At 56.2% G+C, this 21640-nt stretch overlaps 1 protein-coding gene and 1 non-coding gene across 9 annotated transcripts in view; both read left to right on the forward strand.

Annotated features, from left to right (window-relative positions):
* SORCS2 (sortilin related VPS10 domain containing receptor 2) overlaps positions 1–21640 on the forward strand; it is a 550290-nt gene that overhangs the window by 259598 nt on the left and 269052 nt on the right. The window lies entirely within an intron of this gene.
* On the forward strand, positions 7893–7983 carry MIR4274 (microRNA 4274). Its single transcript, NR_036238.1, has one exon. It is a non-coding gene; the product is annotated as a microRNA 4274 (primary transcript).

A 21640-nucleotide genomic window follows, 5' to 3' on the forward strand; every position in this document is an offset into this window, starting at 1 on the left:
AAGGCTCTTCTTTTTTTTTTTTTGAGATGGAGACTTGCTCTGTCACCCAGGCTGGAGTGCAGTGGCACGATCTTGGCTCACTGCAACCTCTGCCTCCTATGTTCAGGCAATTCGCCTGCCTCAGCCTCCTGAGTGGCTGGGATTACAGGCATATGCCACCATGCCTGGGTAATTTTTGTATTTTTTAGTAGAGACAGAGTTTCACCACATTGGCCAGGCTGGTCTCTAACTCCTGACCTCAGGTGATCCACCTGCCTTGGCCTCCCAAAGTGCTGGGATTACAGGCATGAGCCACTGTGCTCGGCCTGGAAGGTTCTTCTGTTCCCCCTCTTTTCTGCTGGCCAAAGTCTATGATGCTTTTCCGTTTTCACCTCAAACACACATCACCCCCAACTGCATGCAGTTTTCCGGGAGCCCTGCCCCAGCCTTCTGTAAGCTATGTGCTCTCCTGCTGACTCCTGGACCAGAGGATCTGGACCCACGAGGGCACGGGCAATGTCCGGGCCTCTCTCTAGCCACATGCCCAGCAGCTGGCTTACCACTCTGTGCCTCAGTTTCTGCCTCTGTAGAATATGTCAGTAAAAGGACTCAGCTCCTAGGATTGCCGGAAAGATGAGGTGAGCAGCGTCCAGCAGAGCGTAAGAGCTTGGACGTGTTAGTGTCAGGCGCCATGTTGGGGTCAGGCTCCGTGTTGGGGTCAGGTGCTGTGTTGGGGTCAGGTGCTGTGTTGGGGTCAGGTGCCGTGTTGGGGTCAGGCGCTGTGTTGGGGTCAGGTGCTGTGTTGAGGTCAGGAGCTGTGTGTTGGGGTCAGGTGCTGTGTGTTGGGGTCAGGTGCTGTGTGTTGGGGTCAGGCTCCGTGTTGGGGTCAGGCGCCGTGTTGGGGTCAGGCTCCATGTTGGGGTCAGGTGCTGTGTGTTGGGGTCAGGAGCTGTGTGTTGGGGTCACGTGCTGTGTTGGGGTCAGGCACTGTGTTGGGTTCAGGAGCTGTGTGTTGGGGTCAGGTGCTGTGTGTTGGGGTCAGGTGCTGTGTTGGGGTCAGGCTCTGTGTTGGGGTCAGGCTCCGTGTTGGGGTCAGGCGCTGTGTTGGGGTTAGGAGCTGTGTGTTGGGGTCAGGTGCTGTGTTGGGGTCAGGCACTGTGTTGGGGTCAGGAGCTGTGTGTTGGGGTCAGGTGCTGTGTGTTGGGGTCAGGCACTGTGTTGGGGTCAGGCACTGTGCTGGGGTCAGGAGCTGTGTGTTGGGGTCAGGCACTGTGTTGGGGTCAGGAGCTGTGTGTTGGGGTCAGGAGCTGTGTGTTGGGGTCAGGTGCTGTGTTGGGGTCAGGCTCCGTGTTGGGGTCAGGCTCCGTCTTGGGGTCAGGCTCCATGTTAGTGTCATGCGCCACGTTAGGGTCAGGCACTGTGTTGGGGTCAGGTGCTGTGTGTTGGGGTCAGCTGCTGTGTTGGGGTCAGGCACTGTGTTGGGGTCAGGAGCTGTGTGTTGGGGTCAGGTGCTGTGTTGGGGTCAGGCACTGTGTTGGGGTCAGGAGCTGTGTGTTGGGTTCAGGTGCTGTGTTGGGGTCAGGCACTGTGTTGGGGTCAGGCACTGTGTTGGGGTCAGGAGCTGTGTGTTGGGGTCAGGAGCTGTGTGTTGGGGTCAGGTGCTGTGTGTTGGGGTCAGGAGCTGTGTGTTAGGGTCAGGTGCTGTGTTGGGGCCAGGCACTGTGTTGGGGTCAGGAGCTGTGTGTTGGGGTCAGGTGCTGTGTGTTGGGGTCAGGAGGTGTGTGTTGGGTTCAGGTGCTGTGTTGGGGTCAGGCACTGTGTTGGGGTCAGGAGCTGTGTGTTGGGGTCAGGTGCTGTGTGTTGGGGTCAGGTGCTGTGTGTTGGGGTCAGGAGCTCTGTGTTAGGGTCAGGTGCTGTGTTGGGGCCAGGCACTGTGTTGGGGTCAGGAGCTGTGTGTTGGGGTCAGGTGCTGTGTGTTGGGGTCAGGTGCTGTGTTGGGGTCAGGCACTGTGTTGGGGTCAGGAGCTGTGTGTTGGGGTCAGGTGCTGTGTGTTGGGGTCAGGCGCTGTGTTGGGGTCAGGTGCTGTGTGTTGGGGTCAGGTGCTGTGTGTTGGGGTCAGGTGCTGTGTGTTGGGGTCAGGCTCTGTGTTGGGGTCAGGCTCCGTGTTGGGGTCAGGCGCTGTGTTGGGGTTAGGAGCTGTGTGTTGGGGTCAGGTGCTGTGTTGGGGTCAGGCACTGTGTTGGGGTCAGGAGCTGTGTGTTGGGGTCAGGTGCTGTGTGTTGGGGTCAGGTGCTGTGTTGGGGTCAGGCTCCGTGTTGGAGTCAGGCTCCGTGTTAGTGTAATGCGCCACGTTAGGGTCAGGCAGTGTGTTGGGGTCAGGTGCTGTGTGTTGGGGTCAGATGCTGTGTTGGGGTCAGCTGCTGTGTTGGGGTCAGGCACTGTGTTGGGGTCAGGAGCTGTGTGTTGGGGTCAGGTGCTGTGTTGGGGTCAGGCACTGTGTGTTGGGGTCAGGTGCTGTGTGTTGGGGTCAGGCACTGTGTTGGGGTCAGGCTCTGTGTTGGGGTCAGGCTCCGTGTTGGGGTCAGGCGCTATGTTGGGGTCAGGAGCTGTGTGTTGGGGTCAGGTGCTGTGTTGGGGTCAGGCACTGTGTTGGGGTCAGTGCTGTGTGTTGGGGTCTGGTGCTGTGTTGGGGTCAGGCACTGTGTTGGGGTCTGGTGCTGTGTGTTGGGGTCAGGTGCTGTGTTGGGGTCAGGTGCTGTGTGTTGGGGTCAGGTGCTGTGTTGGGGTCAGGCACTGTGTTGGGGTCAGGTGCTGTGTGTTGGGGTCAGGAGCTGTGTGTTGGGGTCAGGTGCTGTATTGGGGTCAGGCTCCGTGTTAGTGTCATGCGCCACGTTAGGGTCAGGCAGTGTGTTGGGGTCAGGTGCTGTGTGTTGGGGTCAGATGCTGTGTTGGGGTCAGCTGCTGTGTTGGGGTCAGGCACTGTGTTGGGGTCAGGAGCTGTGTGTTGGGGTCAGGTGCTGTGTTGCGGTCAGGCACTGTGTGTTGGGGTCAGGTGCTGTGTGTTGGGGTCAGGCACTGTGTTGGGGTCAGGCTCTGTGTTGGGGTCAGGCTCCGTGTTGGGGTCAGGCGCTGTGTTGGGGTCAGGCACTGTGTGTTGGGGTCAGGTGCTGTGTGTTGGGGTCAGGCACTGTGTTGGGGTCAGGCTCTGTGTTGGGGTCAGGCTCCGTGTTGGGGTCAGGCGCTATGTTGGGGTCAGGAGCTGTGTGTTGGGGTCAGGTGCTGTGTTGGGGTCAGGCACTGTGTTGGGGTCAGTGCTGTGTGTTGGGGTCAGGAGCTGTGTGTTGGGGTCAGGTGCTGTATTGGGGTCAGGCTCCGTGTTGGGGTCAGGCTCCGTGTTGGGGTCAGCCTCCGTGTTAGTGTCATGCGCCACGTTAGGGTCAGGCACTGTGTTGGGGTCAGGAGCTGTGTGTTGGGGTCAGGTGCTGTGTGTTGGGGTCAGGCTCTGTGTTGGGGTCAGGCGCCGTGTTGGGGTCAGGCTTCGTGTTGGGGTCAGGCTCCGTGTTGGGGTCAGGTGCTGTGTTTGGGTCAGGAGCTTTGTTGGGGTCAGGCACCATCTTGGGGTCAGGCTCCGTCTTGGGGTCAGGCTCCGTGTTAGTGTCATGAGCCACTTTAGGGTCAGACGCAGTGTTAGGGTCAGGCTCTGTGTTGGGGTCATGCTCTGTACTGGGTTCAGATTCTGTGTTAGCGTCACATGCTGTGCTGGTATCAGGCGCCGGGTTAGCATCAGATGCTGTGTTAGTCCACTCAGGCTGCCAAAACAAAATACCTGGGACTAGGGGCTTAAACAAGAGTAATTCCTTTTCTCACAGTTCTGGAGGCTGAAAGCTTGAGACCAAGGTGTAGGCAGGGTTGGTTTCTCCTGAGGCCTCCCTCCCCGGCTTGCAGATGGCCGCTATCTCCCTGTGTCCTCACGTGGTCGTCCCTCTATGTGTCTGTTTCCTGATCTCCTCTTCTTATAAGGACATCAGTCCAGTTGGACTAGGGGGCCACCCAAATGTCCTCATTTGACCTTAGTTACTTTAAATGTCCTAGTTCCAATGACAGTCACATCAGGTATTGGGCTTCAACACAGGCATTTCAGGTGGACACAATTCTGCCCATGACAGGAGCTCACTGGTGTTTGTGATGTGAATGAATGAATGAATGAATGAATGAAATTATGCGAATGAGGCATTTCCCTTCTGCTGAGGGAAATCACAGCCACCAAAGAGTTGGTCTCTGTTTCACATTCAGGACAAGCTGCCCATCCACCTTTACATGCATTTTTTTCCTCTGTTTCCCACCCATAAGCCTGAAGGGTGAGAGGGGGGGGGCCTCCTTTTGAGGACAGAAACATAAAATGGTCCGGGCACTGTTGTCCCTCCCCACCTGAGGACAACAATGGTGTTTGGAGCTTGGGGGATGCTTGGAGAAGAAGGTGGCTTCTGTGACCAGCAGCTCTGTCCCCACCTGGGAGAGAGGGTAACGCAGGAAGGGGCTGTCAAGAGCAAACCCTTGGATTTTTGCTCTGGGCACAGAGGAGATCTGAACAGAGGGAACTGCTGCTCAGTGGCTTTGAGCCAGACCTTGGGTGCCTGCTGCTTGTCCCCCTGTGGCAGGGGTAGGGGGGTGGAGGGTCATCTCTCGACGATCAGTGTGGAGGGAAGGATCACAGGCTTTGGGGCCTGCAGAATTCCACCCCACCCCACCCTACCCTGGCATTTAGAAGTGGTTGGCCCTGGGCAAGGCTTCACTGCTCCACGCTCCATTTCACCCCTGGTTGGGTGCACGCAGCCACCTCCAGGGTTGTGGTGAGGGGTGAGTCGACGAGGTCAGGGTGAAGGCCGAGCCTGACACTGGGCATGGTGCTGGCAGAGACCTTTCTGTCCATCCCTGCTCCTTGACATTCCAGAATTCCTCAGGACCCAGCACACAGTAGGTGTCAAAAATGCATGTTGATTGACTGACATCAGTCAACCAGAGTGAACAGCACACGACAGCCCCCGGACAGATTCCCCGCCACCAGTTAGCTTTTCCCAAGGCATATTCTGTCTTCCCAGCCGCCATGCACTGGACCTGAATCCCAGCCTGTCATCTCCATGTAGATGGCCTCAGTGCTGGGTGAGGTGACTTTATCCCTGAAAGGACATGCAGCCAGGCCTGGAGGCAGAGGCCAGGACTGCAGGTGGGGAGGGACAACAGCACCTGGGCCCCGAGTGGCTTTTGGCCAGGGAGCCGCGTGCCCCAGTGAACATCGCAAGCTGGCAGGTGTGAGCTGCAGCCAGAGGGCCTGGCTCACACCAGGGAGCGTGCCCCAGTGAACACTGCAAGCTGACAGGTGTGAGCCGCAGCCAGAGGGCCTGGTTCACACCAGGGAGCGTGCCCCAGTGAACATCACAAAGCTGACAGGTGTGAGCTGCGGTCAGAGGGCCTGGTTCACACCAGGGAGTGTGCCCTAGTGAGCATTGCAAGCTGACAGGTATAAGCCGTGGCCAGAGGGCCTGGTTCACACCAGGGAGCATGCCCCAGTGAACACTGCAAGCTGACAGGTGTGAGCTGTGGCCAGAGGGCCTGGTTCACACCAGGAACAGCATCAGGGGTGTTTTCCTTTTGTGTCTCTGCCTGAGCTGCTCTGCTTCATGGCCTCTGGGGAAGAGGCCAGAAAGGGAAACTGGAAGGCCCTGGGGGTTTTAGTTTTTTGAGCTGACACAGCTGCCTGTTGGGCCTCTGGAGAGGTCAGGAGGGCTGCAGGGCGGGGGTGTCCACACCACTAGCCCGAGAGGCTGCGGGGCAGGGACGTCCACACTGTTAGCCCGAGAGGCCGTAGGGCAGGGGCATTTGGTCTGCAGCTCCTGGGATGTCCTGGTTACCCCAAAACAAAACTGCCCATTGACCTGGTTGAGTGGGTGCCCAACTCCCCTCAGGGGTGCCATAGGTGACACAGTACTTCTGCGAAAAGTTTGAGGGAGGGAAGGGTCTTCCGGAAAGAGGGAAGATCTTGTGGGCAGCACCGAGGCCTGGGAAGGCATTGCTGAGTCCTCCTGTGGGGCGGGGGGAGGCGGGGCTGGCAGGGAAGTTTGACGCCAGAGGCTGGCACAGGCTGTAGGTTGGAGGCAGGGAGACGGTACTCACTACTGTAGGTACTAGGGAGACACTGAGGGTTGTTGAGCAGGGGGAGGGCTGTGCCTCAGCGGAGCAGGGCTGGGTGCAGGTCTGGTCTTGCGTGTTAATGCTAGTAGTTTTCCAGCTGTGCTCCCCTGAGTCCTTTGGGGGCCCCTGAGCAAAGAAGGATGTGGGGAAACCGTGGAGAATTCCCCCATGGTCCCCATTCCCCAAACCAAGCAGCCTGACATTCATGCTTCACTCCTACATAGCCCTTTCAGGTTAGACTTCATTTTGGACAAAACTTCCTGCTGCTTAAAACTTGTTAAACACCTTTGCCTAATGAGATTGATGTGGGATGATCTCGCTTTCATTTATTTGCTCATCAAACTTGACCTGAGTGTCCTTTCTCTAGGGCCTAGGCTGGACAGGAGACTCAGGTGACCGAGACAAGGTCCCAGCCAGGAGGAGCCCACTGTCCTGTGGGACAGCCTGGGGCTCAGGCCACCCCAAGGGGGTCCCGGGCACCATAGCGGGAGCAGTGGTGGTGTCCCCAGGGGTCAGGGGAGTCTTCTTGGTGGAGGCAATGCTTAATGGAGCCCTAAGGAATGAGCAGAAGTTGGCCTTTGGGACCAGGAGAAAAGGGTATAACTGGCTGTGGGACCATGTGTGCAAAGGCTTCTCTGCTGGCTGCGGGGACTGGGCTTGGGCCTGGTGGAGTGTGGGGGCCGGCAGGGGGTGCATGGAGGGGTCAGAGAGAAGCCTGCTGGGCTCCTAAGGCGCGTGGCAAAGGCCACGTCCTCCCCGATATTGCTCCCCTGGGCTGGGGGCACACTCTTCTGTGTGCGCAAAGGTGTGGCCCTGAGGGGTGCAGTGAAGACCGTGTGGCTTTGGACTCACCCAGCCACACAGAGCTCAGATCCGAGCCCTCCCTGCCCCACCATGGGACGCTGGCGAGTCTCTCCACCCTTCTCCGAGTCTCTGTTTCCTCAACTATAGAAGAGGGAGGATCCTTTGCACCCCTAAGTATTGCTATGGAGAAGGCATCTCTCCCAACCCCAAGCATATGGCAGGCCTTGTACTAGGGAGACATGAGGTGGGGGTCAGGCACAGAAAGGCGGTGGTGTTGAGGCTGCAGGCTTGAGCCCAGCTGCTGAGTTTGAGCCCCTGTCTGGCTCAGTTTCCTTATCTGTAAAATGGGCTTTACCATTCAGTTCCTCTCTCCCAGGTGGACGTGAGAGTTGAATAAGGTGACACCCATGATGGCCGGGCCCCATGGTGGTTAGTGAAGCCCATGATGATGATGCCACGATGCCTGGCCCCGGGAAGTGAGGCAGCCGCCTCTCAGAGCTCTGAATTCCCCGGGCATCTGTCCTGGCCCAGCCTGGGGTGTCCAGGCCACTGGTCTCTCTGGTCTCAGAGTGCTCAGGAGGACTTCCCAGCATGGCCTCAAGTGTCCCATCTCCAGACAAGCCTCTCCATGGCCAGCCCTGCTCCCATCACCCTCTGGGATGTCGCCTGGTTGGGTTCAGGAGCCTTGAGGGTCCTGTGAAGCCAGCCTGGTCACATTGAGGGCATTAGCCAGGGCCATCCACTTTGGGGAGAAGTACCCGGGCAGGTGGCTTCTGCCCCCAATTGGTAGGGAGGGAGAGAGGCAAGGAGCAGCTGGGAGCATTGGCAGAGTGGGTGGTGGGGGAGACCACGTCCTTCATGTCATCCAGGGCCACCCCTGCAGAGCCCAGTGGCCCTGAGCATCCAATCTGGTAGGCGAGGGGCATTTAGGGTAACTGAGCTGCTGCCGGGGCCTGGCGCTCCTCTACCTTGTCAGGTGACCCAGCAGTCCCTCCCCCTGCATGGTGCCCAGTGCTATTTGAGGGTCTGAGCCAGCCAATGGGTTGAGAGTACCCCCGCTCCCCACCCAGCGTGCCAGCTAGTAGAATCCTGGGCGGGCCCAAGGGAAATGAGGCAGTGGTACCTTGGGGTCCTCACACTGAGCGATGCCATGCCCTAAGCCCCAGAGGACATGGTCCCCGATGCTGCCATCTTTCTGATGGGGCCCACCTGGGCACTAACCAGCCAACCCCAGTCGGTGGCCAACGCAGCTTCCACGGGCCCCTGCACACTTCTAAGGTCCAGACATTCGGGGTGCCAGACTCCCCCAGCTTCAGAACAGCTCGGTGGTCAAAAGGCAGCCTGGAGTTGCAGCCTCAGTGAATTCCAACGTACCCCCACAGCTTTCCCAAGCCCACCTTGCGCCATTGTGTCTAGAGCCGCTCCAAGGCCCTCTGGCCGCTTAGACCCCATGGTGCATTTCCATGACTGGAGTGGCATCCGTGTCTGTGGGAACAGCTGCAGGCATGTCGGAATTGCATGCCGAGAGCTGTGTAATCGAGATTTGGTGACATTAGTTTCTTGTAGGTGGGAATGTGGAGGGAAAGGGAATAGGACCTGGCTGGATATTCAGCTCTTGGGAGTAACTCAACACGCTCCCTAATCCTGGGTGTCCCATGAGGTCACTTTTCAGCGGTCACGTGACAGCTCGATGTTGCATTTTCACATCTGTGGCCGTGACCCTGCCGTGAACTCACAGTCGCCTCCTGAAGCCTGGGCCGTGCATCGGCTACACACGGCCAAGCTCGCAGCTTGAATTTTTCATGGGACCACACTCAACACAGGCACCCGGTTTCCATCGAGGATTTCATTTCTCCCCCCTCTCTTTCCATCATCCTCGTGCTGCTCCTTGCCACCTGCTGCCCGGGGAGTGTCAGAAATGCCAGGCTGCAGGCAGACCTGAAGCTTGCTGGAAGCTTCTTCAAGATGCCCTGCCACAAACATCAGAGGACATTAGAGAGGAGGCCATGTCAGGACTGAGGATGCGGTGATTCGATCAGTGATGAGCTCTCTCCCCAAATTAAATTATTCATCATTTCCTGGTCCTTAATAAAATAATTACTGCCTTCGCTCTTTCCCTCTGCCGTCACAGGACTTGCTTCCATCTCTGAACGTGAAAGATGCTGTGGGGGCGTCTGCAGCCCCTGGAGCTGGAGCCCCCGCCCTCCTTCCCCTCTGCCTTTATCTTCCTCCCCCAAAGTCCCGCCTCACCAGCAGGGGGATGGCCGAGCTTCCAGCTTGACCTCTGGGCTGTCAGCCTGGCCGCGCCAAGGCCGCCTCTGCATGGTGGCTGCACACTGCGTGTGATCAGTGGGGAAACCTGTAGCACCCCCGCGAGCAACATGTGTACATGGACTCACGCCGCACTGTGCTGGGATTTTCATGCACGTGACAAAATCACATCCCACACAGAAAATTTCCAAGGACATAATGAGAAATGAAGTGGCACTGTAGCATGTTTGCATGATCCGAGGAGCGTAGCAGCAGCCTCGCTGCTGGGGTGACAGAGAAAACCCAGCGAGGAGCTCTCTCCCCGGCCCTTCCACGGTCTGCAGCCATCCTCAGGATATAGCCCAGAGGCTTGGACAGGGCGTTCTGGGTGCCTCACCTCTGACCCCTTCTTAGCTCCCCAACCCCTGCTGCCCAAAATATGGCCTGGGAACCCACACATCAAGCCCCACCCCACATCTGCCCACCTGTCATCTGCATATTAACAAGACCCCTGGAGCTTCCAGGCACACCTGGGAGGTGCTGTCCCGCAGGCTTCAGTGCCTCTGCTGTCCTGCAGGCTTCAGTGCCTCTGCTGTCCCACGGCAGCTGGACACAGCTGGCATCTGAAAGGCACCGCATCAGGCTCACCTGTCTCTGTGCCCAAAGTTCTAAGGAATTATTGGAACTGTCAAGAGAAGCCACAGTGCAAGTGAGTGTAAGGGAGAGGATGCCCAGAGAGCCACCCAGAGTGCCTTGGAGCCCGGCCTGTGTGCTTCGCTCTTCCCTGGGCTCCGAGGTGGGGAGACGAGCTGACATTTGTTAAGGCTGTGCTGGGCGCCAGCTCTCCTGCCCGGTGCTTCACGCAGGGACAGGTGGATGGGGAGACTTTGGAGTCAGCCTGGGACTTTAATCCCAAATGTCTCACCTGTGAGCGGGAGATGTGAGCAAATCACGTACCTTCATGAGCCTCAGCTTGTTCATCTATGTAATGGGGCAAAGGGCAGCACGAAGGATCTAAAGACGGGCTTCGGGAGGCTGGGAGTGGGACTAAGAACTTTGGCCTTTGTTTTATGCTTTTTATAAGCCTATCAGTAGGCCAGGGGTCCCTGATGTGCAGAAGCCCAGATAAAAGCAGGCAGTGCCCTCAGTGTACTCCAGAGACGTTGGCTCTAAAGCCTGGATTCCTCCCCTCCTGGTGCACCTGGAGGCGACTCACAGTCCAAGCATGCGTGGCACTGTCATCTGTTTCCAGAGTGCCCTCTGCTGTCAGAGTGACCTTTTCCAGGGATGGAGCCTCTTGTTCATCCTGGCGACCTCAGTCCCTGGCTCTGGGTCTGGCACGCAGGAGGAGCTAAGTGAATAAAGGAGGCCAGCTGGGCCCCAGCCCCTGTGCACGGAAGAAGCCGGTGCACACTTGCAGAGTGAATGAATAACAACAGCATGTTGTGAGCACTCACTATCTGCTGTCACGGTGCACTCGCCAGAGGGAGCGCTCACAACATGCTATTATCATTTCCCAGTGAGTTCCAAAAAACAAATAAAGAAATGAGCCACTCTTGCCAATTCCCCATCCCGTGTGCCAGGCTTGCCAATATGGGGACTGAGGAGTGCCTGTTTGAGATCACTAGCCACCACACCTCCCTGGTCTCTGCCACCGTATCTCAGCTCCCAGTGTGACAACAGCCCCACAAAGGCCCCTCCAGTTCAGTGTTCTTGTTATCATCCTCATTGTACAGGTGAGGAAACTGAGTCACTGTCTAGAGCCTAGGGATAAAGGGGCAGTGGGCCAGGGAGCCTGGCCCCGAAGCCTGGTGCTGACCACTCTGTTGAGAAGCCTCCTGAATGAATGACTACGGGATTAAGAGGGGGCACTGCTGGATTTGGTCCATGTTATAGGATTTGCTGCACAGCCCGTTACTCAGAAAATGGGGCTGTGGTATCAGACCCGGCTTTGAAACTGGACATAGTCCAGCTGTGTGACCTTGGGGATAGGAAGGGAATGGTTATTTGACTTCCCTGAAGCTTCACTCACATATTCTGAAAAGGGGATTTAAAAAGGAGACTCCAGCGCATAGTAGGTACTTAGTAAATGTTTCCTTCCCAGAGTGGAGGTGTGAGTTTTATTTGTTGAAAATCCCTGGGGGTGGGGGCGCAGAAGCTCTCGACTCCAGGGCCTCCAGGAACAGACCCCCATCCTTGGAAAAGGCCTTATCCTTCTCCACGTCTCTGTTAAAACAATCAACGCTGGAGGCTGGCAAAGCAATTTGTTGCTTAACTTTAGTGGAAAAATAAGATCAGTGATTTGTGCTTGCTGAATTTGGAAATAGTAGGGAGGAAAGTTGGGCGGGCTTGGGGAGACGGTGGTGCCACTCTCCTGCACCGCTCTGGAGCACCGCGCCGTGCATACTAACGGCCCTGATTAGTGTTTCAGCAGGAGCCCTGCGCCGCCTACATACTGATGCGTGCCGGACTGGTGTGGAATTGGTTTCCCAGCTGTCACACTGGGAACCAAGATACAGTAGCAGAGACTGGGGAGGTGCGGAGGCTGGTGATTTCAAACAGGCACCCCTGAGTCCCCACACTGATGAGTCTGGGACGTTGGATCGAGAATTGGCACGAGTGGCTCCTCTCCTTTTTTGGTTTTTGGAACTGACTGTGAACCCAAGTATTCATTAACTCATTCAGTCAGGAAGCGTGTGTTGAGCTTCTACACTGGGCTGGCAGTGAGCTAAGAGCTGGATGCCGCAGTGGACTGAACACACCTGGTCAGCCTGGAACTTTCCACTGTAGAGGAACAAAATGGGCCAGGCAGCTTCACCATCAGGCGATGTCACAGTGCTGGGATTCAACCTGCAGAACCCACCCAACTACCCATGAGTGAGCCCCTAACTCTAGCTGGAGAAGCCAGTAGAAGTCTCCATGGAGGTGGAACAGGTGGGCTCTTTTGTGATGGACATTGAGGGATGAATAGAAGTTCACCAGGGGGAAAAAGAATGCACTCTAGGAGAGGCTGCCCGAGCTCTGGATGCCCTGAGGGAGGGGCTGTGGTCTATTCAGGGAAAAGGGAGCCGCAGCCTGTGGAGGGCTGGTGGGAGCGGTGGTTGGCAGATGCAGGGCCTGGAATGCCACACTAACTAGCTTGGACTGAGCCCCGAGGGGAAGTGTGCTGCAGAGGGATTTGCAGCAGAGAAGGGCTATGTGGTTAGGTTTGTAGTCTAGAACGGTGTGTGTTGCATCAAGAATGGATTATTTTAGGGTGAGAGTTTGTACCCATTCAAAGGTAGGACTAGGGGCTGCTGTACTTTTGGGGATCCCAAAAAATGGTGTACTCTGACCATTTCCATTGGGATCAATGACAAATAAAAAACAGAAAGCTCACCTTGAATTTCCTCCATAGTCCAGACTTTCTGAACTTCCGGCACTATGGAATGTACTTGTTTGTGCTGGGCATCGGGATAGTGCCTAGCACAGAGGAGGGGCCTGAGAAATGCAGATGGGGAATGGGAGAGGTGGGTGATGCTGCCTTCCTTCTAAAAGCCGGCGCCTCCGGCCATGGGTCCCGGCAGCACAGCCCGGCCTCCACGGCGGCTCCTCGCTGCAGCCTGAGGCCACGTGGTGTCCTGACCTTTGCCCTAAGTGCTGGGGGTTCTGCCCAGGTTATGTCACCTCTCTAGAAAATGAGGATGACAAAGCACCCCCCTTGCAGGGTTTTTGTGGTGAAGTGAGGACAGTATTAGCTTCTCATGGGTGAATGACACCCGGGGCCGCTGGGCGAAAGAAGGCCCAGGATGCTCTGCTGGGGCCAGGGGATGGGCGCGGACCAGGCAGCCCCGAGCAGGAGGCCTCTGCTCCATGGCAACATTCTCCTGCATTTAGCCCTCAGGAGCTGCCAGGGCATGAATATTTAATCTCAGCGGTTGCCATTTGTCTTTGCACTGTTAATACTGCTTTTCCTTTTTAATTTAGCAGAAGGGCACACATCTTGCGAGTTTCTTTATATGTAAAATATGTGGTATTCGGGCTTTATCCAAGCTGCTGTGGGAGCTGGCTGGGAGGGGAGGGTGAGTGGGCTTTTCCCGGTGGCTGGAGGTGACAGGCTTCCCTGTGCAAGGCGCCAGGGTGGGCACAGGCACTGTGAGGAGCCAGGAGCTGGAGCCATCTCCTTTCTGCTGTTTTTGGTGTTTATAGTAATGTGTGTCCCCCTCTCCAGGGGCTTGTGCTGGAGATATGTGTGCACTTTTCTTTTAAGTTCGTTTTTTCTCCTTTATAAAGATACGTAGACATTCTAGAACATGTAGAAAATATTGAAAAGAAAATTCATACATGGTCCTACTCACCAAGGACAATAAGGCTTCCCCGCTTCTAATAGTTACACATGTACAAGAGGTTGATATGTAATCTCCATCAAGATGGTGAATAGAACGCAAGCCCAGACAAAGGCATGGCTTATTAGCCGCTGCTGTTTTTTAGTGGGGGGCTAAGTGTTTACAGGAGTAAACCATGATGACCCTGGGAGGTGGGTTCTCTCATCATTCCCGTTTTGCAGATGAGGAAACAGAGGTGCAGACAGGCCAAGGATCCATGCAAGGCAGAAGGCCTGGGGCAGGGGCAGGGCCAGGGTGGGAACCCAGGGCTCCAGGTTGATAGAAATTTTTTATTAATTGCCCCAAATCTCACAGCTCGAAGACTATTGCTATCCACATCATGGGTATTCATTTATCCAGATTTTTTCCACACAAAGGGATATGAATGTGCAAGCATTCTCTGAGTGGTTTCTGCTGGAACAAACGTCCCCAAACCAAAAGGTGTTTCCTGGTCTTGTCTCAGTCTGATGAGAACTTCAGGGCAGGTGGGGGTGAGAGTACATCTGGTTCACGCCCCTGCAGTCAATCAGGGGCCCAGGCTCCTGCCTCCTTGTGGCTCTGCCCTCCTCCAGATCTAGGAGACAAGGAGAGGCTGGCGGGATTCCACGGGGGAGGGTGTTATGGGCTGGTCCACCATGGCACCCAGGACTCTGCCCACATTCCGCTGGCCAGAGCTCAGTCACGTGGCCACGCCCCACTCAGAGGAGGCTGGGAAATGTGGTCTTGGTATGGGGGCAGGGGGTGCATGGAGAGAAGCAGTTTAATGAGCCAGTTCTGGAGACTGTGTCATCTCTAACACAGGCACACACTCACCTGGCCTCACGTCCATACCCCATTCTCCCTCTGGCTGCAGTGGAAACCCATGGAAAGGGGCAGCCTGGAAACACGGGGTCCTGTAGGAGGTGGGCACCTTGGCCCAGGCAGTAGCTGGTGAGGACTGAGCCCGGGGAGCAGGGAATACAGGTGGGAGGCAGAACCAGTGGGTGGCCCACTACATACAGGGTGTGGAAGACGGCAAATCCAGGCAGACTCCCAGCTTTCTGGCTGGGCGATTCCCTAAGTGGTTCCAGAATCGGCCCAGGGGTGCTGGGAGGCATAGGCACTTGGGAGGTCCTGGAACCTGGTTGGACGCTGTCACTTGACCTCTATTTGCCATGTGCTTGGACAGGGCTGGGATGGAAATGGACCTAAATGCCAGGGGAGGCACCCTGCTGCCTTTCTCTTTGGAGATGGGTGGGGCTTGTATGTATGCAGGTGGCTCAGTGGCTCTGTGGCTCTTTGGCTTGGAGCACACAGCCCACACAGAGGCAGAGTGTTTGGAGGGAAGACACTGAAGCATTGTGTGGTTTTGTCTCAGCATCTAAAACTCCCACCACGGTCCAGCCTGGCGTCCCCCCAGGCGTTTGGCAGCTGCAGTTTTCCTGGCCAGAGCATGCCACAAGTGGTCCCCTGGATGTCCAGGAGGCAGCAAGGCCTGTGTGCTGCTGTTGGAAGCTGCCAGACATGGGCGAATGACGTGTCATCCACAGCCCCCACGCTGCTGCCTTTGTCCGTATCCACTGTGGCCAGGACAGCAGCAGAGAGTGGAAGGGTCCCTAGGGCTCCCACTCAGATCTGCTGTCCTTTCTTCTTGGGGCCCTGGGATGAGGAGCTCACCCTGGGGCCTTCGGTTGGCCTCTGGGTTGGGTGATCAAGGAGGTGGCGACTGCCAGGTCACCTTGTCCTCACAGCTCTCATCATCACTCTGGCCTCCGAGTCAAGTGACATCTCATTCATAAGGTGACAGAAGTCAGAGGGCAGCTGGGCTGGAGCCACCCAGCTCCTGAGTGTGGGCCTGGGCAGTCTATGCCACTTGGAGGCTGCCTGCTGCTCACAGCTCAGCGGGGCCTGCACTAAGCTTCAGAGGCCTCCTGAATCTTGAAGGAGCCAGGGCTCCGGCTCCCTCAGCCCTAGGCTCCAGTCCCAGCTCTGGCCTCTGGGGGAGATGCCACCCAGCTCTTGGTCTCAGCGGCCACTGCCACAAAATGAGGGGCTGCATTCCAAAGTACTCTTTAGCCCTGGCTGCTGTGGCTCCCGGAGCCGGTCCCCGCACAAGGGTTCCTCTGCAGCTTTCCTGGGTGCTTTTCTACATCTCAGGAATTTGTTCTGCTGGTGTGTCCCTGGGAGGCTCAAGCCCCTTGGCCTCTTTATCACAGGAGATAGCTGCCAGGTTGGGTTTGAGTGGGCTCCTGCCCAAGGGGCTGGCTCTGTCCTCCTGGCTTCAGAAGCAAGATCTGTACCTTTCTGCCCCATGGAGCCACACCGAGGTATGAGGATGGCAGCGGGTTCTCCCTCAGTGCCCCCAGCTCCCGCATCTGTTTCCATCTCAACTGTCCCCTGCAAGGCACAGTTGTTCTCTGCCCCTACATCACTCTGCCACCCTCTTCTGAGCAGGCTCTGGTTCTCCTTGTTCCCCCTAAGTACTGATTACAAGGCTTCTGTGTGAATAGCCCCAGGTCTAAGTGGGACTCCACCGTCCTCCTTCCAGGTATGGAGCTACCACTATTAACATCGTCATGGGTCGCAACCTTGTTGATGGTGACTGAGTCCTGCAGCACCCGAAGCCTCGTATGCATGGCTGTCACTCAGCTGCTCCCATCCCCCTCACGCTATGTCTCCATCCTCGCAGTACTCATGGGATCAGCCCAGGGCCTGGAACATGGCAGTTGCCTGGGACTATCTATTTGAGAAGAATACACTGAAAAAAGATGTGTGCATAGCGTCGAGGATGGGGGTTACTTTCCTTCTGTGTAACAGCCAAGAAGCCTCATGGTTCTGGGTGCAGTGGGGGCACTTGGAAAGGTTTGTTGAATGCATCAACGCGTAGAGTGAATGAATAAGCGTTCTTGTGCTTTCACAGTGCAACAGCAAGGCCTGGCATGGCGCTTCACCCAGCTTCATCTTGATCACTTGAAAGGCACTCTCTAGTCCCAGCTGCTTATTTTGGATCCTAACCATCTCTTCCATCTGTTGACAGATTCTTATTGTCAGCATTGTTTGGGGGAGATTAGGTTTTTGAAAGGTGAGGATGCTCTCTGACATTCGGGGGTTTGGGTCTGGACGTTGCATTTGATCTTCCCCTTCCTATCCAAAACGCCGTATCTGTTGTCAGGCAGCTCTGTGTTTCTCTCCCTGCTCCACATCTGGTGGCCGTGTGACCTTGGACAAGTCACTTAACCTCTCTGAACTGCAATGTGCTCATTTGTAAAATAGGAAAAATGAACAGCACTACTCTGAAGAGTTGTTGTGAGGGTAGAAATGAGGAACACTCCTAAAGTGCTTCACACAGAGCCTGACAAGGAGTTAAGACATGATGGTGATTATAGTGAGGCTGGCTGTGATGGTGGTGGTGGTGATGGTGCTGATAGTGGTCATGGTGGTGATGATGATGATGGTGGTGATGGTCCTGGTGATGGTGGTGATGTCGATGATGGTGGTGGTGGTGATGATGCTGTTGATGGCGGTGGTGATAGTGATGATGGTGATGGAGGTGATGGTAATGGTGGTGTTGGTGATGATGATGATGATGATGATGACAATGATGTACCTCATAGCAAGGGACTGGAAAATAGAACGCAGAGACAGTGCTCACAAAAGTTCTTTCTCCCCGAAATTCAGTGCTTTGGGAATGCATTGGTTGCTTCTGTGCAAACCCTAATCCTAAGCTGTGGTTGGAATGTGCGGTTCATGTATCTTCCCTCAGGCTCCCTGGCAGGTTAAGAGCAGGAGGTGATGTATCAGAACCTCCAAAAGGAGCCCTGTTTATCCAGGCAGAGCCTGCTCTCAAAATGCCTGCCTGAGTCTGTAGCTTCCTTCCAGCCCCACTGAGGCTTCCAAGTCTCTTGCCAACAGATCCCCAGTCCTAGCTGCACATGAGTCTCCTGGGCAGGCCTACAGATTATGAAGCCTGGACCCTGCCTCCAGAGATTCTGATTAAATTGGATTGGAGTGGAGCTCCTGTGTCTGCTTAAAAAGCTCCCCAGGTGATTCCAATCTGCAGCCAAGGCTGAGAACCCCTGCAAAGAATTTCTTTCCTTCTCATTGCAGGGCTGTTTAAAAACAATCACTGCCTGGCATCTCATGGGGAGGCGAACAGGCTTCTGAGATCAGTGGCACAGAGAGTGGGCTCCTCAGTTTGTCATCAGAGACAGGAAGACAATTGTTATCAAACAATGGGTCTTCATGCTCAGCACTCTTAAAAAGAAAGAAGAGTGGAGGCCAGAGGCCACAAAGATGTACTGAAGTCACAGGGCCAGCAGGTCCAGTGTGTCCTCCAGGGAAGTTCATGGCCAAGGGAAAACGCTCCTCCCTCTTGAGCATTTTCTAATAAATGAGGAAAGGGGGCCCAGATTGTTTCATTGAACTGTCCAGGGTCAAACAGTGAGTTAATATATCTATCCAGTCATCCATCCATCCTCCCATCCTCCCATCCCTCCCATCCATCCTCTCATCCTCCCATCCCTCGGTCCATCCACCCATCCATCCTCCCATCCTCCCATCCTCCCATCCTGCCATCCTCCCGTCCTCCCTTCCATCCATCTACATATTCTCCCACCTTCCCATCCACCCACACATCCATCCTCTCACTTATCGATCCATCCATCCATCCTTCCATCCATCCATCTATCCTTCCATCCATCCATCCAGCCATCCAGCCATCCTCCCATTATTTCACTCATCCATTCATCCAGGTGGGATAGGGATGGACAGCTGCATGGGTTCTTCATGGAGGCTTTAACTGCCAGGCAAGAGGTTGGCTCTGCCTTGTGGCCAAGGAGACCCATGTGAGCTATTCTAGGAAGGAGAACCCGGTAGCTGCTGTGATGGTCTGGGCGATGCTTGGAGAGACACAGGTGATGGTCTGGGCGAGGATTGGAGAGACACAGGTGATGATCTGGGCGATGATTGGAGAGACAGGGCTCGGAGGAAAAACAGTGGAAGAACAGTCAGGACTGAGCTTGGGGACAGACAAAGCCCTGGCCCCAGCCCCAGCCTGCATGGAGCCCACAAGGCAGTGGGAGGCAGGCCTGTGACGCTCTGACCACCCCACTGCTTCACCTGCATGAGCTCATTGCTGCATCCTCACCTAAAGCAGTGCCCAGGACCTGGAGGGTTCTCTGCAAACATCTCACGCTTGCAGGGAGGTGATGTCAGAGTGATGAGGAGGAGGCAGATGAGAGTGGGTGGGAGTAGTGACAAGAAGGTGCCATGTCAGACAGAGTAGTCATGGGGTCTCTACCAGGAGCAACAGTCTGAGCTGAGACCCAAATGAGGGGGCTGCCTGCGAAAACCCAAGGGAGGAGATTTCTAGGTGGAGGGAACAGCTAGGGAAAGGCAAGGGCATCTTTTTCTCACCCCAGGACAGGGTTCCTGCAGGGACAGATGCGTTGGGAACAGGTCAGCGTTGCACCCGCCCGCTATCGGGGCCAGCATCCTGCATCCTTCCCCGCCGGCCCCGCTTCCCCGCTCCGCTCAGCTCCTGCCTCGCGCAATGCCATCTTCAGATTTCACGGAACACATTTCTGCTCTCAAAGGGCAATGTTGTGGCCTTCTCCCCTCATGAGGAGACAGTGGCTCTGTGGTCCCCTGTGATTATCTTTTCAATTAAATCCTCAGACGCGGCCAGGTCTCCATTTATAAATTCATAAGAAAAGCCTACAGACCTGCGGTGGCTGTCCAGGCCCTAATTTGCTCTAAATGGCAATTTTAAATGATACAGTGCAGGCTGGACAGCTGGGCCACGTCCCCTTCGTTCCAGGGAAGAGGGAGCAGAACGAAGATCAGCAGTGGCCCTCCAGCGGGGCTCGCCGCCCCTACCCCGTTCTCGGTTCCTGGACTCATCAGAGCAAACTGTCCGGGACACAGGGAGAGGGTGGAACCAGGTGCGTCCCTTGTACCCAGAGCCCAGGTTCCGAGTGAAGGCCTGTTCCGGGAGTAGGCAGGTGTGGAAGAGGGACCCTCGGTGCTGCTGGCCCTGGCTGGGGATCAGGCCCCTGTCTCTGGGCCTGGAAGCCCACCTGCTTTGGAGGTGATGTCTGCGGAATGCAACCTTCAGGACGCCCAGGCGGAGTCACCCACAGTGGGGCAGCCCCTGCACAGGCTTTGCTGGAGTCTCCACTGCACTGGCCTAGGTCCAAGCAGTCATAGCACTGCCCCCAGCTGCCCTTCTAAGCCCTGTAGCCTAGTGGATTAGAACCTGGCCTCCCTCTGGAGAAAGGCCCAGGACCCGATTCAGCGGCATCATTCCCTAGTGCTTCGACCCTGACCTCTCTGAGATGGGGTCTATGCCTCGGGGATGAGTGCTCCCTGCACTGGGGGGCTGTGACCACCAGCCTGTGGCCCAGGACACTCAGGAGTGCTCTGTGCTGTTAGCTCGTGTCCCTGGCACTGCCCTGGGCAGGCTGCTGCAGGCACAGAGGGGCCTCAGACCCAAAGAGCAGAAGGGACAGACAGGTCCATGGATGCATCGGGATGGAGGGAAGGGCCTGGGGCTGGCTGCACAGGGGCACTTTCCCCACCTGCTGGGTTGGGGATGATTCAGGGCAGGCTTCTAGGAGGAGGCAACAGCTGAGCGGGAGTTTACTGAGTGGGAAAGGGCAGAGGAGCAGGGGTCCAGGCAAAGTGGACGGCATGTTCCCCGCCTCAGGGGGATGAGGGGATGGCGTGGAGTGTCCACAGAGCCTGCAGCTGGTCAGGGACAGGCACTACAGGCCTAGTGGGTTGTGGCAAGCGGGGGACAAGATCACAAAGGACTGTGGCTTTGACGCCTGAATGCACAGCTGCTGCCCTCCGGGAGGGCCCTGGGCAGGAGTGGACAAAGACCCTCTCCCTCCTGCCCCCTGCCGAATGTTTCTTTCACACACGCCGCGCTTCTGGGAAGGACACGGGAGGGCAGACTAAAGCCGGAAGAAGTGGGAGGCGGCAAGGGGATCTGGTCACATCCCGCTGGCCCCATCCCATTAAGACGAGGCTCCGCTGAGACTGGTCCCCGCTGGAGGGGCCTCATTATGTTTGTAATTGACTCCCCGCTGTGAGGCTCCCACTCTAGAACCTGGTTTGATTGGGGCGAGGGCGGAATTAACAGAACAAAACTGCCTTCGCTCAGATGGTGAAGAAGAAATCACAGCCTGAGTGGATGGGGCCAAAGTGTTCATCATAAAAAAAAAAACAAAATAGCCCTGGAGACCGTTACTGTCAATACTACATCTTATTTCATTGATTCCTTTAACAAAAATGGTATGGAGCCCCTGGCCTGTGGGGTTTTGCATGCTAGACACGGTAGAGTTTGCTCAGGATATCGGCCGACCTTCCTTGTGGCCATTGATTATTAATATTTGTAATGTTAAAGCATCAAAAGAGGGAATATTCTTAGGAAGACAAATGCTAATGACCAAACATCAGAAACTGCTTCCAGAACAAACATCCCATCAATAAAACATCCACAAATATGTGTTTGCCAAGTTGAATGTAAGGGCTCGGGCTGCAGCCGGGAGCCTGCGGGGTGGGTCTGCCCATGCGGGAGGGGCTGAGAGGAGAGGAGAGGGAGATGGCGTGTTCCCAGGGAGCCCTCAGCCCAGGGGCAATTGGGTGCCTACAGGGACCCTGGTAATGTGGGATTGGGTATACGGATGCCCATCAGGACAGCTGACCTCCTCGCAGGGAGCGGCTCCAGAAGAGGGGCTTCACCCTGCGGTTGGGAAGGGCTGAGGGGCGTGCACTCCAGGCAGAGGCAGCAGGAGATGCAGACATTCAGAGGCAGGATGCCCATGGAACCTTCTAGCAGCTTGGCAGGTGGAAGCCTAAGAATCCTGGTGTGGGGGTGAGACTGGAAACCCAAGACAGAATCGGGTCACAAAGGGCCCCGAATGCCAAGCATAGGCGTGTCCGTCACCCTGGAGGCAGTGATGATGGCTGGGCGGTAGCAGGACTAGAAGGGCCTTTTGGGAGGAACTGCTCCTGGCTGGGAGGCTGTGACTTGGCAATGGGGAGGTGGGAGGGTGGGCGCGGTCCTGGC

Source organism: Homo sapiens, chromosome 4 (genome assembly GCF_000001405.40).
Source record: "Homo sapiens chromosome 4, GRCh38.p14 Primary Assembly".
NCBI lineage: Eukaryota > Metazoa > Chordata > Mammalia > Primates > Hominidae > Homo > Homo sapiens.